General features: G+C 52.8%; 1 protein-coding gene and 1 pseudogene across 32 annotated transcripts in view, besides 2 other annotated features; one reads left to right on the top strand and one right to left on the bottom strand.

Annotated features, from left to right (window-relative positions):
- The window catches only part of PTPRS (protein tyrosine phosphatase receptor type S), a 135,305-nt gene that overhangs the window by 57,223 nt on the left and 61,469 nt on the right, over positions 1-16,613 (top strand). For all 32 annotated transcript variants that reach the window (XM_047439166.1, XM_047439164.1, NM_130853.3 and 29 more), the window contains exons 3-4: positions 9,246-9,391; positions 10,007-10,148. In XM_047439166.1, the coding sequence (XP_047295122.1) occupies positions 9,246-9,391; positions 10,007-10,148 (288 nt within the window). The remainder of the gene's footprint in view (positions 1-9,245; positions 9,392-10,006; positions 10,149-16,613) is intronic.
- Positions 3,104-3,273: an enhancer, noted in NCBI's record as "experimental_51629 CRE fragment used in MPRA reporter constructs". NCBI's record gives its function as "activates a minimal promoter by MPRAs in K562 erythroleukemia cells, with activity observed for both the introgressed and non-introgressed 19:5280413 variant alleles {active_cell/tissue: K562}" and the evidence as "EXISTENCE:reporter gene assay evidence [ECO:0000049][PMID:34662402]".
- On the bottom strand, positions 5,406-5,909 carry RPL32P34 (ribosomal protein L32 pseudogene 34; annotated as a pseudogene).
- Positions 14,178-14,678: an enhancer, noted in NCBI's record as "H3K4me1 hESC enhancer chr19:5268923-5269423 (GRCh37/hg19 assembly coordinates)". NCBI's record gives its function as "activates a minimal SCP1, AML or CMV promoter by ChIP-STARR-seq in primed H9 embryonic stem cells {active_cell/tissue: H9 hESC(primed)}" and the evidence as "EXISTENCE:reporter gene assay evidence [ECO:0000049][PMID:30033119]".

Here is a 16,613-nt window from a genome sequence, read left to right as displayed (position 1 = left end):
TTGTTTTTTTTTTGAGACGGAGTCTCCTTCTGTCTCCTGGGCTGGAGTACAGTGGTGCGATCTCGGCTCACTGCAACCTCCACCTCCCAGGTCCAAGTGATTCTCGTGCCTCAGCCTCCCGAGTAGCTGGGATTACTGGCACCCGCCACCATGCCCTGCTAATTTTTGTATTTTTAGTAGAGATGGGGTTTCACCACATTGGCCAGGCTGGTCTCGAACTCCTGACCTCAGGTGGTCTGCCCACCTCGGTCTCCCAGAGTGCTGGGATTACAGGCGAAAGTGCTGGTGTGACAGGCGAAAGTGCTGGGGTGACAGGAGAAAGTGCTGGGGTTACAGGCATAGGGGAACAATTTCTGCTCTAGAAACCACTTCAGGTCCAGTGGGGCCTTCCCAGGATGCCGTGGGGCTGGCCCCGGGCAGGGTTGGAGGGGACAGGGTGGGTGGGTCACCAGCTCTGGCACTGGATTCTTGTCTGCAGAATCTGAAATGGAAAAACAGAGATGGGGCCAAGCCAGGCCACGGAGCGGGAGGCTCAGGCGCGTTGCCTCCAGAGAGGGCTGGGTTCCCTTTCCAGCTTTTTTGATATTGGCAATACCACATGAACTTCTGTCTCTTCATCTAAGAGACAGGGACATCCACGGTACTTGTGGTCAATAAAGACCCCCAACCCCATTTATCCAGCCTGCGTGATTTTCAAGGCACTGGAGCCAGGTAGGCCTGGGTTGGAATCCTGTCTCTGCCCATCACACGCCGTGTGACCAAAGGCAGGTCCCTTCTTTTTTTTTTTTTTTTGAGATGAAGTCTTGTTCTGTTGTCCTGTTGCCCAGGCTCGATCTCGGCTCCCACTGCAGCCTCTGCCTCCCAGGTTCAAGCAGTTCTCCTGCCTCAGCCTCCAAGTAGCTGGGATTACAGGCGTGTACCACCAGGCCTGGCTAATTTTTGTATTTTTGGTAGAGATGGGGTTTTGCCATGTTGGCCAGGCTGGTCTTGAACTCTTGACCTCAGGTGATCTGCCTGCCTCAGCTTCCCAAAGTGCTGGGATTATAGGTGTGAGCCTCTGCGCCAGGCCTCTTCACCTTTCTGAGCCTGTTTTGCTCCTCCTGGCCACAGGCATAAAGCTTAGCACATGGCGTGTCTTTGTGCCTCTCGAGCTGCAGGCGCGGCGCCCTCAAGCCCCAGAGGTGTCCTTCCTGTGTCTCTGCCCCTTTGCTGAGAAAAAGGTGGGGAAGCTTCGTCCAAAGGAGAGATTGCAAGCATTTGCAAGACATTTTCTAACGGGGGACTCAGTGGGCAGGGACAGCTCTTCCAGGCTGGCTCAGATCCCAAAGCTGCCTGGAGAAGACCGAGAGGGTATCTGCTCTGCAGTGATGGGGGTGCTTCCGAGAGGTAGAACCCCTCCAAATCCGAGAGCAGGCAGTGATGTTGGGAGCTCCGTTTTCTCAAGGGTCACCACACACCGAGAAGAAGTCTGAGGTCCCAGGGAACCAAGGCTGTCCCTTGACCTCTGTGCTGAGAGCCACATAAGCAGGTATCTCAGCCCAGTGTTCTGGGGACGCCCAGGCTGCGGTGGGGGCATAAGGGACTCCTGACCGGGCCTGCAGTAATCCAAGAAGGCTCCCCAGGGGAGGTGCTGGCCGAGCTGAGGTTGAAGCTGCCAGATGAGAGGAGGAGGACGGGACCCTGGGAGGAAGGAACAGCACAGACAGTGGCTGATTGTAGCACCCACCCGCCCGGTCTTGCTTGCTGGATTGGAGGGGGCAAGGGGTGTGTTCTGGCTCTAGGTCAGACAGGCAGCTGGATGCGTCTCTACCCTCAGCCAGCTTCTGCCCTTCCTTCCAGCAGCTCCAGAGGGAGGGATTTTTACCAGAAGTAACATTCTTGACCCGGCCACAGTGACTTTTCCTCATGTCCTTGGCTGAGGACGCATGGCCCCGGGTCACCATTCCTGAGGCCAGAAGGAGGGGGCAGCCCCAGCCTCAATGTGGAGCAAAACATCTGCCCTAATCAGGCTCAAGTTCTGGATGTGGAAGGGACAGTAAGATGTCGGCTTTGGAGGCAGAAACCCGGGTTCAAATTCCAGTGCTGTTATTTCTGAACTCTGTGATCTTTTTTGTGGTGGTTTGTTTTTTGAGACAGAGTCTTGCCCTGTCCCCCAGGCTGGAGTGCAATGGCGTGATCTCAGCTCACTGCAACCTCTGCCTCCTGGATTCAAGCAATTCTCCTGCCTCAGCCTCCCGAGTAGCTGGGATTACAGGCATGCGCCACCATGCCGGGCTAATTTTTGTATTTTTAGTAGAGATGGGGTTTCACCATGTTGTTCAAGCTGGTCTCGAACTCCTGACCTCAGTTGATCCTCCCGCTTTGGCCTCCCAAAGTGCTGGGATTACAGGCGTGAGCTACCATGCCCAGCTTCTGAGCTCTGTGAACCCATTAACATTCCTGAATCAGTACAGTGGGATTGGCTGTTGCTGCAACAGAGGGATAAATAAGAGTTGAGGGGCCAGGCGCGGCGCCTCATACCTGTAATCCCAGCACTTTGGGAGGCTGAGGTGGGTGGATCATTTGAGGTCAGGAGTTCGCGACCAGCCTGGCCAACATGCTGAAACCCCCTCTCTACTAAAAATACTAAAATCAGCTGGGTGTTGTGGTGGGTTCCTGTAATCCCAGCTACTTGGGAGGCTGAGTTAGGAGAACCACTTGAACCTGGGAGGCGGAGGTTGCAATGAGCCAAGATTACGCCACTGCATTCCAGCCTGGGCAACAGAGCGAGACTCCATCTCAAAAAACAAACAAAAAAAAAAAGTTAAGGGAGGCTGTGCATTCCTGTACATGGTGGGTCTAGTGATTTTTTTGTTTTGTTTTGTTTTGGAGACAGAGTTTTGCTTTTGTCACCCAGGCTGGAATGCAATGGCAGGATGTCAGCCCACTGCACCCTCTGCCTCCTGGGTTCAAACGATTCTCCTGCCTCAGCCTCCCAAGTAGCTGGGATTACAGGCACCCGCCACCACGCCTGGCTGATTTTTGTATTTTTTTAGTAGAGACGGGGTTTCATCATGTTGGCCAGGCTGGTCCTGAACTCCTGACCTCAGGTAATCCATCCGCCTCAGCCTCCCAAAGTGCTGGGATTACAGGCATGAGCCACCACGCCCGGCCAGGTCTAGTGACTTTTGGGACAGATGCTCAAAGCACACACATACGGTCATATCAACAGGAGCAGAGCCTTGAGTGAGGGAGGTTAGGCTGGTCAGGCCACTGGGGCAGGAACTCTGTTTTGTTTAAAGCCCAGCCTGAGCCATGGATGGGTAGGCGTTGGGGCCCACAGGGACCTACCCTTGGAACCTCGGGCCTTCTTAAGGCCTCTCTGGGCTTCTGAATAGCTGGAACTTTCCAGAACTTTTCTGGTCAACCTGTGTGGCCCCTGGACTCACTCTACCCTTTTCTAGCTGGTCGTAGAGGCTCAAAGTCCTAGCGTTGCTCAAGTTTGAGTTGTTAGACCTCAGCCTCTCCTCAGACCCCAAACTTTTACTTAAAACAAAGTTTTGCTCCATTTTTTCTTTAATCAGCTCACTTTTTTATTTAAGCAATTTTATGTTTTAAAATAACTTCAGGCTGGGCGTGGTGGCTCACGCCTGTAATCCCAGCACTTTGGGAGGCCAAGGTGGGTGGATCACGAGGTCAGGAGATCGAGACCATCCTGGCTAACACGGTGAAACCCCGTCTCTACTAAAAATGCAAAAAAATTAGCCAGGCATGGTGGCGGGCGCCTATAGTCCCAGCTACTCGGGAGGCTGAGGCAGGAGAATGGCGTGAATCCGGGAGGTGAAGCTTGCAGTGAGCCGAGATCACGCCACAGCACTCCCGCCTGGGTGACACAGTGAGACTCTGTCTCAAAAAAATAAAAATAAAAATAGATAACTTCAGCTGGGCACGGTGGCTCACACTGCTAATCCCAGAGCTTTGGGAGACCGAGATGGGAGGTTCACTTGAGCCCAGGAGTTCCAGACCAGCCTGGGAAACATAGCGAGACCCTGTCTCTGCAAAAGATTAAAAATTAGCCGCATGTGGTAGCAAGCGCCTGTGGTTCCAATTACTCAGGAGACTGAGGCCAGAGGATCCCTGGAGCCCAGGAGTTTGAGGCTGCAGTGAGCTATGATTGCACCACCGCACTCCAGCCTTGGGTGAGAGTGAGACCCTGTCTCTGTAAAAAAAAATAAGAAGAAGAAGAAAAAATAAAATAAAAATAAAAATAAAAATAACTTCTTCAATTTGTCTTTAGTTCTACATGTAAAAAGGTACCAAAGTGGAAATCTCTGTCCCTGTGTCCAGCCACTTAGCTCCCTGGAGGCAGCACTGTTTCTACACATACATACAATCTTTCCCTTTTTCCTTTTTTCTTTTTTTTTTGAGACAGAGTTTTGGTCTGTTGCCCCGGCTGGAGTGCAGTGGTGCGGTCTGAGCTCACTGCAGCCTCCACCTCCCGGGTTCAAGCGATTCTCCTGCCTCAGCCTCCTGAGTAGCGGGGATTACAGGCATGCACCACCACGCCTGGCTGATTTTTGTATTTTTAGAAGAGACGGGGTTTCACCATGTTGGTCAGGCGGGCCTCAAACTCCTGATCTAGTGAGCCTGCCCCAGCCTCTCAAAGTGCTGGGATTACAGGTATGAGCCACCATGCCCAACCCCTTTTTTCATTTTAAAAAATCGTACAACGGTACCATTTGCGACACTTTATTACCTCTTGCTTATACACACCTCCTCCATTTAATAATATATCTTATTGTTCCTACCCTAGTAGTTTATTTTAAAAAGCATCCTGGCTGGGCAGGGTGGCTCACGCCTGTAATCCCAGCACTTTGGGAGGCTGAGGTGGTTGGATCACCTGAGGCCAAGAGTTTGAGACCAGCCTGGCCAACATGGGGAAACCCTGTCTCTACTAAAAATACAAAAATTAGCCGGGCGTGATGTGTGCCTGTAATCCCAGCTACTTGGGCGGCTGAGGCAGAAGAGTCCACTTGAACCCAGGAGGCGGAGGTTGCAGTGAGCCAAGATCGCGCCCTGCACTTGAGCCTGGGTGACGGAGTGAGACCCTGCCGCAGAAATAAATAAATAAATAAGTAATCAAAAAGCATCTCGAGGTGAGAGGATCGCTTGAGGACAGGAGTTTGAGACCAGCCTGGGCAACATGGCAAAACTCAGTACAAAAATTAGCTGGGCGTGATGGCATGTGACTGTAGTCCCAGTTACTCAGGAGGCTGAGTTGGGAGGATCGCTTGAGCCTGGGAGATTGAGGCTGCAGTGAGGTATGTTCGTGCCATTGCACTCCAGCCTGGGCAGAAGAGCGAGTCCCTGTCTGAAACAAAAAAGCATCCTTTCCCCCACCCCCCACTCCCTTTTTTTTTTTTTTTTGGCAGTTTCTACATTTATTTAAACACAAAACATGCACACGAGCCGTCTACTCATTTTCTTCACTGCGCAGCCTGGCATTGGGGTTGGTGACTCTGACGGCAGCTGGGCGGCCCTTTCCACGTTGGTTTTGCGTTTCTTGGAGGAAACACTGTGAGCGATCTCAGCACAGGGAGATTTGTTGCACATCAGCACTTCCAGCTCCTTGACGCTGGGGACCAGGAACTTCCGGAAGCCACTGGGCAGCATGTGCTTTGTTTTTTGTTGCTCCCGTAACCACTGTTGGGCATCAAGATCTGGCCCTTGAACGTTCTGCGAACCCTGTTGTCAATACCTCTGGGTTTCCCCCAGTTAACGCTTAATTTTGACATATTGGTCTGACTGGTGCCGGATGAACGCCTTGATCCTCTTTTTGACGATCTTGGGCTTCATGAGGAGTCTGAGGGCGGCCATGATGCTGAGGAGGAGACGGCTGCCACCTCCTTAGGCAGCGCCGAGGAAGGGAGGCTTTTCCTCCTTTTTTTTTTTTTTGAGATGGAGTCTCACTCTGTCGCCCAGGCTGGAGTGCGGTGGCGCGATCTCGGCTCACTGCAAGCTTCGCCTCCTGGGTTCACTCCATTCTCCTGCCTCAGCCTCCCGAGTAGCTGGGACTACAGGTGCCTGCCACCTCGCCCAGCTAATTTTTTGTATTTTTAGTAGAGATGGGGTTTTCACCATGTTAGCCAGGATGGTCTCGATCTCCTGACCTCGTGATCCACCCACCTCAGTCTCCCAGAGTGCTGGGATTACAGGCATGAGCCACCGCACCCGGCTTTTTCCCCCTTTTTATACTTATGTAGTATTCTGCTGCATAGATAGCCTGGCATTCACTTGATCAGTTCCTTTTTATTGGATATATAGGCTGCTTCCTAAGGGCTCTTGTAAGTATGTTGCAGCCCTCGGGGAAAAAAAATAAAAAAATTAGCCAGGCGTGGCTGTGGGTACCTGTAGTCCCAGCTACTTGGGAGGCTGAGGCAGGAGAATGGCATGAACCCAGGAGGCAGAGCTTGCCGTGAGCCAAGATCGCGCCACTGCACTCCAGCCTGGGCGACAGAGCGAGACTCAGTCTCTTAAAAAAAAAAAAAAAAAACACAAAACTCAGCAGTAGCTCCATTCATCTTAGGGGATACATTGTAACATTACTGTGTACTGTGACCGGAAATCTAGTGTCCCTCTGGGAGATGCAAAGGTTACTGTAAAAATAGTCGATAAAAAGGAAACAATGTTAATGAATTCTCCACAGATACTGTAGCCTGTCCCAGGTGCAGCTTGATGAGGTTGCTCTAGGATGTTAAAATAGGCATACTCACCTGCCTGGTGGCTCACGCCTGTAATCCCAGCACTTTGGGAGACTGAGGCGGGCGGATCACGAGGTCAGGAGATCGAGACCATCCTGGCTAACACGGTGAAACCCCCATCTCTACTAAAAATACAAAAAAATTAGCTGGGCATGGTGGCGGGCATCTGTAGTCCCAGCTCCTTGGGAGGCTGAGGAAGGAGAATGGTGTGAACCTGGGAGGCGGAGCTTGAAGTGAGCCGAGATCGCACCACTGCACTCCAGCCTGGGCAACAGAGTGAGATTCTGTCTCAAAAAAAACAAAAACAAAAAAAAAACACGTACTCCAGGCCAGGCGCAGTGGCTCACACCTGTAATCCCAGCACTTTGGGAGGCCAAGGTAGGTGGATCACTTGAGGTCAGGAGTTCAAGACCACCCTGGCCAACATGGTGAAACCCCATCTCTACTAAAAATACAAAAATTAGCCAGGCGTGGTGGTGCGTGCCTGTAATCCCAGCTACTTAGGAGTTAGAGGTAGGAGAATCACTTGAACCTGGGAGGCGGAGGTTGCATTGAGCCGAGATGGCACCACTGCACTCTGGCCTGGTGACAGAGCAACACTTCATCTCAAAAAACAAAAACAAAAACAAAAACACTCCTACTCCAGGCTTTATTGCAGAGACTGAATGAATACATCAGATCGTCATGGAGGGTGAAGAATGTGGATGTGAAAGCCAGGCTGGTTCAAAGGAGCACGTTCAGCTCAGCCACCGCCTGGCTGTGCATGTCCAGCCAAAGCAAGTCCCTTGCCTGGTTTGTGTCTCAGTTTCCTCACATGTAAAATGGGGATGGCAGAGCTGGGTATGGTGGTTGACGCCTATAAATCCAGCAGCTTGGGAGGCTGAAGTGGGAGGATTGCTCGAGGCTAGGAGTTTGAGACCAGGCTGGACAACATAGCTACTTGGGAGGCCAAGGTGGGAGGATCACTTGAGGCCAGGAGTTCCAGACCAGCCTGGGCAACATAGTGAGACCCCAGGCTGGTTTTTGTTTTTGTTTTTGTTTTTTGAGACGGAGTCTCACTCTGTCGCCCAGGTTGAAGTGTGGTGCCATGATCTTGGCTCACTGCAGCCTCCATCTCCCAGGTTCAAGCAATTCTTCTGCCTCAGCCTGCCAAGTAGTTGGGATTACAGGTGCCCACCACTATGTCTGGCTAATGTTTGTTTCCTTAGTAGAGACGGGGTTTCACCATGTTGGTCAGGCTGGTCTCGAACTGCTGACCTCAGGTGATCCTCCGGCCTCAGCCTCCCAAAGTGCTGGGGTTACAGATGTGATGGCCTTCACCTGTAGTCCCAGCTACTTGGGAGGCCAAGGTGGGAGGATTGCTTGAGCCTGGGAGGTCTAGGCTGCAGTGAGCCAAGACCGTGCCACTGCACTCCAGCCTGGGTGACAGAGTGAATCCCTATCTCTCAGGAAAAAAAAAAAGAAAAGAAAAAGAAAAGAAGGCTGGGTGCAGCGGCTCATGCCTGTAATCCCAGCACTTTGGGAGGCGAAGGCAGGCAGATCATGAGGTCAGGAGACCGAGACCATCCTGGTTAACATGGTAAAGCCCCATCTCTACTAAAAATACAAAAAGTTAGCCGGGCATGGTGGTGGGCACCTGTAGTCCCAGCTACTCGGGAGGCTGAGGCAGGAGAATCGCTTGAACCTGAGAGGCAGAAGTTGCAGTGAGCCGAGATCACACCACTGTACTCCAGCTTGGGCGACAGAGTGAGACACTGTCTGGAAAAAAAAAAAAAAGAAAAGAAAATGACGATCAGGATGGCACTGCCTCTCCATGCTGTTGGAGAGGTTAAATATTAAATATTACTTCCCCTTTCTGAGCTCCTGCCTCCAGCTCAGAGCACTCTCCTGGGCACTGACCCCTCGTGTCCAGCCACCTCCTGGATGCCTCCCAAGAAGCTGGAGCTCTGGGTTCAAATACTGGCTCTGACCTCATGTCCCATGGTCACCCCCCGCCCCCATGCTGGGTGCCTCAGTTTCCCCACATGTCTCACCAGGAAATTAGACCAAGTTATTCTGGCAAGTGCTTTCAGGGCCCTCCAGGGTTTGGCTGGTCACCATGGAGGGGGGGTTCAGGTGCTGAATTTAGGGACCCCAGCATCTCACAGGTTTCCCCTTCCATCTTTCCCAGTGGCACTGTGTCTGAGCAGGTGTGCCCAGGTGAGGTTGTATCCACTGTGTCTGAGCAGGTGTGCCCAGGTGAGGTTGTATCCACTGTGTGTGAGCAGGTGTGGCTGTTGCAGGTGGAAGTGGGGATATGTGGGCACCTGGGTGCCCATGGGTGCCGTGGTGGGGGGCGAGGTGGGAGGGTGTTTGTTGTCATCCTTGCTTTCCTCCTCCTCTCTTCATTGGCCACATGGCACTTCCGTGGGCAGGGCATGGAATGCAGGTTTTCGTGGCTCCTTGGTATCCTAGCCAGATGCCTGGACCCATCAGCGCCCCCCCTTCTTTCCACTGTATCCCCAGAGCCCCCCAGGTTTATCAAAGAACCCAAGGACCAGATCGGCGTGTCGGGGGGTGTGGCCTCTTTCGTGTGTCAGGCCACGGGTGACCCCAAGCCACGAGTGACCTGGAACAAGAAGGGCAAGAAGGTCAACTCTCAGCGCTTTGAGGTGAGTTGGGGTAGGGGGAGGCAGCCTGGGGTCAATGCTCCCCCAAGGCAGGGCCACAGCACCTCAGCCACAGTGGACTTCGTGGACACGTTCCCCAGGTGGAGCATCATCTGTGGCCAAGCAAGCATGGCTGCGCAGCCTCCAGCCAGGGCCCTGCCCGCCTTACTTGCTCTACCAGCTCCATGCTGTGTGGCCTCAAGCAAAGCCCTGCCCTCTCTGAGTCTTCTTCACAGTGCAGTGTACACAGCACCACTGCACACAGAAGGAACTTTACAACTCTCAATACACGCCCATGATCACACGTGCACATTGACACATTCCGCATGTCTTCACATGCCTTTGCATGCCTGTCACATGGGCTTGCAGACATTTGTCACCCTCACACATGCACACAACACCCTGTTCTTATATGTACCCAAATCTGGTCCCTGTCTGCGGCGCATTTATACTGGACACCGACACACGTGCACATTCAGCCTGCAGCAATTCTCCCAGTCACCCCCAGGATCATGGGGCTGACTGCCATTCCCCTACAGCCCAGCCTAGCCCAGCCTAGACAGGAACCTTCCTGGGACCCCAGCCTCACTCTGTTCTTTTTTCCCCTGCCCATGGCAGACGATTGAGTTTGATGAGAGTGCAGGGGCAGTGCTGAGGATCCAGCCGCTGAGGACACCGCGGGATGAAAACGTGTACGAGTGTGTGGCCCAGAACTCGGTTGGGGAGATCACAGTCCATGCCAAGCTTACTGTCCTCCGAGGTATTGGGCTCCTCAGGGCGGGCGGAGGATAAACTGGGCCCTGGGCTTTGGGGACAAGCACAAAAGGAATACATGAAAGTTACCCCAAACCCTCCTGCTTTGTGTTTTTTGGGAGGACCTTGATCTCCCTTATCCAACCAGTAACAGTCTCAGGGCCCAGCGCCTACTGGTGGGGATTTATTGTGCCTTTGCAAGAAAGAAAGGAATTGAGAGACTAGAATCATCCTAATTTATAATCTTCATCATGTGCTTCTGATGACAAAAGGCTGATCCAACTCAGATGGGTTCAAGCGAGAAAGGTAATTGATGTGCAGAATTAAAATTCCATGGAGTGGCTGGCTTCAGGTTCAGCTGGATCCAGGGGCTCATTGAATTTTCTCAGAGCTCACTCTCTGTCTCTTGGCTTTGTTTCCTTCTGTATTGATGATATCCTTAGTGAGACTTCCCCCACTGCCAATGAACTTGGATCCCATTCCCTTCCCTGAACTAATCACTGTGGCTCAGGAGGAACAAACACTCTGATTGGCTAGACTCCTACCTGGAGCCAAGAGTGAGTGTGGTTCCCCCAAAGGAATAAAGATAAACAGGGTTGGGCATGGTGGCTCACACCTGCAATCCCAGCACTTTGGGAGGCTGAGGTGGGAGGATCACACGTGAGACTAGACTGGGCAACATAGCGAGACCCCATCTCTACAAAAAATAAAGGATGAACGGATGCTAGGTAGGCAGAAACTGCTGCCCCACTTCCCCAGACATTCACACGGGCCTGCAGTGCTGCTTGCTGGTCTTGTTTAGGTGCAATTCTTTTTTTTTTTTTTTTTTTTTTTTTTTTTTTTTTTTTTTTTTGAGACAGTCTTGCTTTGTTGCGCTGGCCAGAGTACAGTGGCATTATCTCAGCTCACTGCAACCTCCACCTCCCAGGTTCAAGCGATTCTCCTGCCTCAGCCTCCCAAGTAGCTGGGATTACAGGCACATGCCACCACGCCCAGCTAATTTTTGTATTTTTAGTAGAGACAGGGTTTCACCATGTTGGCCAGGGTGGTCTCAAACTCCTGACCTCAAGTGATCCGCCTGCCTCAGCCTCCCAAAGTGCTGGGATTACAGGCATAAGCCACTGCATGCAGCCTAAATGCATTTCTTGAACAAGTCGCAAGGGGTTTATAGGGGGCTGTCTGAGTGATGCTGTTTTATAATGAGGAAGCAATTTTGTGAACAAATTTTTGTTCAGCATCATTTCAAACAGCCGCCTACAAACCCTTGCCCAACCACTCTGTGCTGCCTTCTCCACTGCAGTTTGGTCTTAGCACTGGGCCCAGCCTGTGGAGCTCAAGTCCTGGCTGCCACTTGGTTGCTGTGTGACCTAGGGCAGGTTAATGAACTTGTCTGAGCTGCAATTTTCTCATCTCTAAAGTCGGGCTGAGTACAGGGACTCAAACATCTGTAATCCCAGCACTTTGGGAGGCCGAGGCGGGTGAATCACCTGAGGTCAAGGAGTTCAAGACCAGCCTGGCCAACATGGTAAAAGCCCGTCTCTACTAAAAATACAAAAATTAGGTGGGTGAGGTGACGTGCACCTGTAATCCCAGCTGCTCAGGAGGCTGAGGCAGGAGAGTTGCTTGAACCCAAGAGGCGGAGGTTGCAGTGAGCTGAGATCACACCATTGCACTCCAGCCTGGGCGACAAGAGCGAAACTCTGTCTCAAAATAAATGAATGAATGAATGAATGAATGAATAAAAATGAAATGGCTGGGCGCGGTAGCTCACGCCGGTAATCCCAGCACTTTGGGAGGCCAAGGCGGGCAGATCGCGAGGTCAGGACTTAGAGACCAGCCTGGCCAACATGGTGAAACCCTGTCTGTACTAAAAATACAAAAATTAGCTGAACGTGATGGTGGGCACCTGTAATCCCAGCTATTCGGGAGGCTGAGGCAGGAGAGGATCGTTTGAACCTGGGAGGTGGAGGTTGCAGTGAGCCGAGATCACGCCATCGCACTCCAGTCTGGGCGACCAGGGCAAGACTCCGTCTCAGGGAAAAAAAAAAAAAAAAAATCGGGTAATAATGGTTCTCACCACAAGGGGTAATTCCGTGAACCAGATGAGTGAGTGATACAGGGAGCAAGATTAGCACAATGCCATATTTGGTCAATTCTACTTCCCCGTTACTGTGTTCATCACTGTTAGGATTCTGGTTTAGTAAGATGCTTGTTACCAATCCTTCTGCAGCCCTCAGGTGAGTGGGTTCCACCTGTCACCTGCAGAGACATCCCAGTCATGTATATGAGCCACTGCCAGCCATTAGCTGGGAGGTGACCCCTGCATGTGGCTTCCCAAGATGAGGCTATTCCAATGTCCTCCACGGCAGCCCAGCTGTGACCAGCTTGGAGCCCTGGGAGGGGTTATCACAGCGGCCCTAGTAGTACTCGATTTCAGACTCTGGTCCCATGAAACTGGGACTGGCATCACAGGCGAGTGACCTGTACAGTCATCCAGGATCCCTCCCTCAGGCCCTGTGCTTTGGCCTGTAATCCCAGCAGTTTGGGAGGCCGAGGCAAGTGGACAACTTGAGGTCAGGAGTTTGAGACCAGCCTGGCCAACATGGTGAAACCCCAAATCTACTAAAAATACAAAAATTAGCCAGGCATGGTGGTGTGCACCTGTCATCCTAGCTCCCGGATTCTTGGGAGGCTGAGGTAGGAGGATTGCTTGAACCCGGGAGGCGGAGGCTGCAGTGAGCTGAGATTGCGCCACTGTACTCCAGCCTGGGTGACACAGGGAGACTCCATCTCAAAAGAAAAAAAAGAAAGGCCCCGTGCTTTTTAAAGCTCTGCTGCTGGCCACATGCCGTGGCTCACACCTGTAATGCCAACACTTCGGGAGGCCAAGTCAAGAGGATCACTTGAGCCCAGGAGTTTGAGACTAGTCTGGGCAACATAGAGACCCCATGCCTCACTGTCCAAGTCTCTACAAAAAGAAAAATGTAAAACTTAGCCTGGTGTAATGGGGCCTGCCTATAGTCCCAAGTACTTAGGAGGCTGAGGCAGGAGGATCGCCTGAGCCTCGGAGTTCAAGGCTACAGTGGGCTATGATCATGCTACTGCACCCCAGTCTGGGTGACAGAGCAAGACCCTGTCTCTAAAAGGGGGGTGGGGGGGAGGGGGAAGAAAAGATAAAAGCTCGCTATTGTGGTCTGGAAAGTCTTAATACTTTTCTAACAAGAGACCCCACAATTTCATTTGCGTGGGTCCTGGATCCCATCCTGCTGGGGGATGGAGGAAGGAGCGGGGGCGGAGTCAGGCCCACCGTGGCCCGCCCTGCTCTTCCTAGCAGATAATTTTGCCCTGACCTTTCCCAGGCTGGGACAGAACAACCTGCCTTCTCTTGCCCCAAGCCAGCCTGCACTCTGAGCACTCAGGGTATTAAAAGGACAAGCTGTGAAGCCATCAACTGCCCGGTCCCCCGGAGTCTGGGAAAAAAATGCCCCCTGCGCCCATCCACACTCTTTTTTTTTTTTTTTTTTTTTGAGATGGAGTTTTGCTCTTGTTACCCAGGCTGGAGTGCAATGGCGTGATCTTGGCTCACTGCAACCTCCGCCTCCTGGGTTCAGGCAATTCTCCTGGCTCAGCCTCCTGAGTAGCTGGGACTATAGGCGCCCACTAGCACGCCCAGCTAATTTTTGTATTTTTAGTAGACACAGTGTTTCGCCATGTTGGTCAGACTGGTCTTGAACTCCTGACCTCAGGTGATCCACCTCCTCAGCCTCCCAAAGTGCTGGGATTATAGGCGTCAGCCACCGTGCCGAGCCCACACCCTTTTTCTCTCTCCTCTCCGGCTGCCTGGAAGGGCCTGCTTGGGCTGGGAGCTCATTCTTCCTGCTGGGGCCCGGGGCCTTGGATACCCTGACCCGATCCCACCCACCTTGCCACCAGCCCTGAGCTCCGGGCACCTCCGGCCAGTCCCTGGCAGTTGGTGGGGGACCATCTGGACTGCCAGGGCCACTCCCTGCCTTCCTCCTCCTCTGCCATCTGATTGTGGACCCCACACACGCCTCCTGCACTGTTGTTTTAATTAAACTCCGAGGAACTGGGCAGAGTGTGGTTCGCGATGTACGTTTTTGTTTAATTAGGTGTTCTCGGTAGCGTCAGGCGGCCGAGACCTCCCCCTGCACCCTGGCTGGCTGCTGTCCACACACGCTTATGGGGACCCCTGCGGGGCCACATACACACGGGAATTGCTCACGTGTGGACACGTGGGCACGGGCAAGCGTGAGCACATACATGCGGCACACATGTACCCACGCATGAATGAAATACAGGGTTCCCTCGTAGGCACACGAGCATGCATAGACACACAGGGGGATGCCGACAGACCCAGCTGTGGGCACCAAGACCAATTGAGTGAGGCCCAGTCATTTTGGCCCTCATCTCCGATGATGTCATCAGTAGCCAATCAGAGCCACTTTCAAGGTCGTCCAGGTCCCTGGCCCAGGAAGGATGGACAAGAGGCCTGAACTGCCTCAGACGGCATCCAGCCATGCCCCCTTCAGGGCCCCGATGGGTTCAGACCTGGTTGAGTGGAGGGCTTTTGCAGCCGGTCCTGCTCAGCTTCTTCTGAGCTCAGCCAGGCCTGGGTTCAAATCCTTGCTACATGCTGGCTGTATGACCTGGGACAAGTGTGTGACTGCCTGTGCCTCCGTTTCCCCCTCTATGGAAAAGGCTTGGAGGAGATCACAGGTTCCGTTGCCTGCGCTGCGCCTGGGATGCTGTTAGTGCTCAGGGCTTTCCACTGGGGCTTTTCCCATCCAAGCAGTGACCCCCGAGCTGGAACTGCCGCTCTCTCGTAATCCTGGGGAGGCAGGGATTGATTCTGGCTTCCCCTCCCTGGATCCTGCCCACCTCTCCCTTGCCCCATCTTGGCCTCCTGCCCTCCTGCTGCTTGCCTGGGGCTCAGTTTCCTCCCAAGATGGTGGCCTCCTGCCCACCTCTGTCCACGGCCACCCACCCCTGAGCCCCATGTCCCATCTGGGCCTTTGTAAGCAAATACATGTGTATTCTTTAAACAAACAGAAACATTGTCTACGCCAGGAAGCAGCACACTTTTTCTCCAGACCACCAGGAAGTAAATATTTTTGGCTCTACAGGCTGGACGGTCTCTGTCGCAGCAACAACCCAAAACTCTGCCATTGTGTTGGAAAAGCTGAGAAACGAATGGGCGTGGCTGTGTGCCAATAAAACTTTATTTAATTAATTAATTAATTTATTTATTTATTTATTTTGAGATGGAGTCTTGCTCTGTCGCCCAGGCTGGAGTGCAGTGGCGCGATCTCTGCTCACTGCAAAGTCCGCCTCCCGGCTTCACGCCATTCTCCTGCCTCAGCCTCCCGAGTAGCTGGGACTACAGGTGCCCGTCACCAAGCCCGGCTAATCTTCTTTGTAGTTTAGTAGAGACGGGGTTTCACCATGTTCACCAGGATGGTCTCGATCTCCTGACCTCGTGATCCACCTGCCTCGGCCTCTCAAAGTGCTGGGATTATAGGCGTGACCCACTGTGCCCGGCTGATAAAACTTTATTAATAAATACAGCTACAGGGCTGTTTTTGCGGCCCTTTACCCCCTCCACTCCAGCATTCCTACCAGATGCAGAGGAGCTGCCTATTTCTTGGTCTTAACAGCACTGCGATTTGTCACTTTTTTGTCACTTGTCCGTTGGAGTGGAGTTGGGGGGGCGGGGGGGCACGGTTATTAGTCTGCCCTACGTGGCTGTTTCCTAATCTCTTTTTTTTTTTTTTTTGAGACAGTCTTGCTCTGTCGCCCAGGCTGGAGTGCAGTAGCATGATCTCAGCTCACTGCAACCTCCACCTCCTGGGTTTAAGCGATTCTTCTGCCTCAGCCTCCCAAGGAACTGGGATTACAGGCGTCCGCCACCATGCCTGGCTAATTTCTGTATTTTTAGTAGAGACGGGGTTTCACCATGTTGGCCAGGCTGGTCTCGAACTCCTGACCTCAGGTGATCCACCTGCTTCGTCCTCCCAAAGTGCTGGGATTACAGGTGTGAGCCCCCACGGCCGGCCCATCTTGGTTTGTAGAGCACCCTGGATGCAAGGCAGCCCGTCACTTAGCTGGCTCACCTCATCACCTCAGCCCAGAAGCATGTTCCCACCGCTCAGGGAGCTCTGGGACCAGGAGATTCCAGGGACCTGAGTTTCTCCTCCTTGTCCCCGCTCCCCCCCGCCCCCACATCACCACCGGTCTCCATTTACCATGGAGGGGAGCCAGAACCTCACCACCCAAGAGGGATACCGAGCGCTGGAGACCTGGTGCCACTCACTCACCTGGTGCTGGAGGATTGAGTGCTCAACCAGGATTGAGTTGTTTGTTCATTGATTGAGCTCCTACTGTATGCCCGGTTCTGCGCTGGGTGCTACGGATGCTGTGGTGACACAGATGCACCGTTACAGATAGAATTCCC

The sequence above is a fragment of the Homo sapiens genome, chromosome 19 (genome assembly GCF_000001405.40).
Source record: "Homo sapiens chromosome 19, GRCh38.p14 Primary Assembly".
Taxonomy (NCBI): domain Eukaryota; kingdom Metazoa; phylum Chordata; class Mammalia; order Primates; family Hominidae; genus Homo; species Homo sapiens.
Note: the sequence above shows the minus strand (reverse complement) of the source record. Positions and strands in the feature narration are given on the sequence as shown.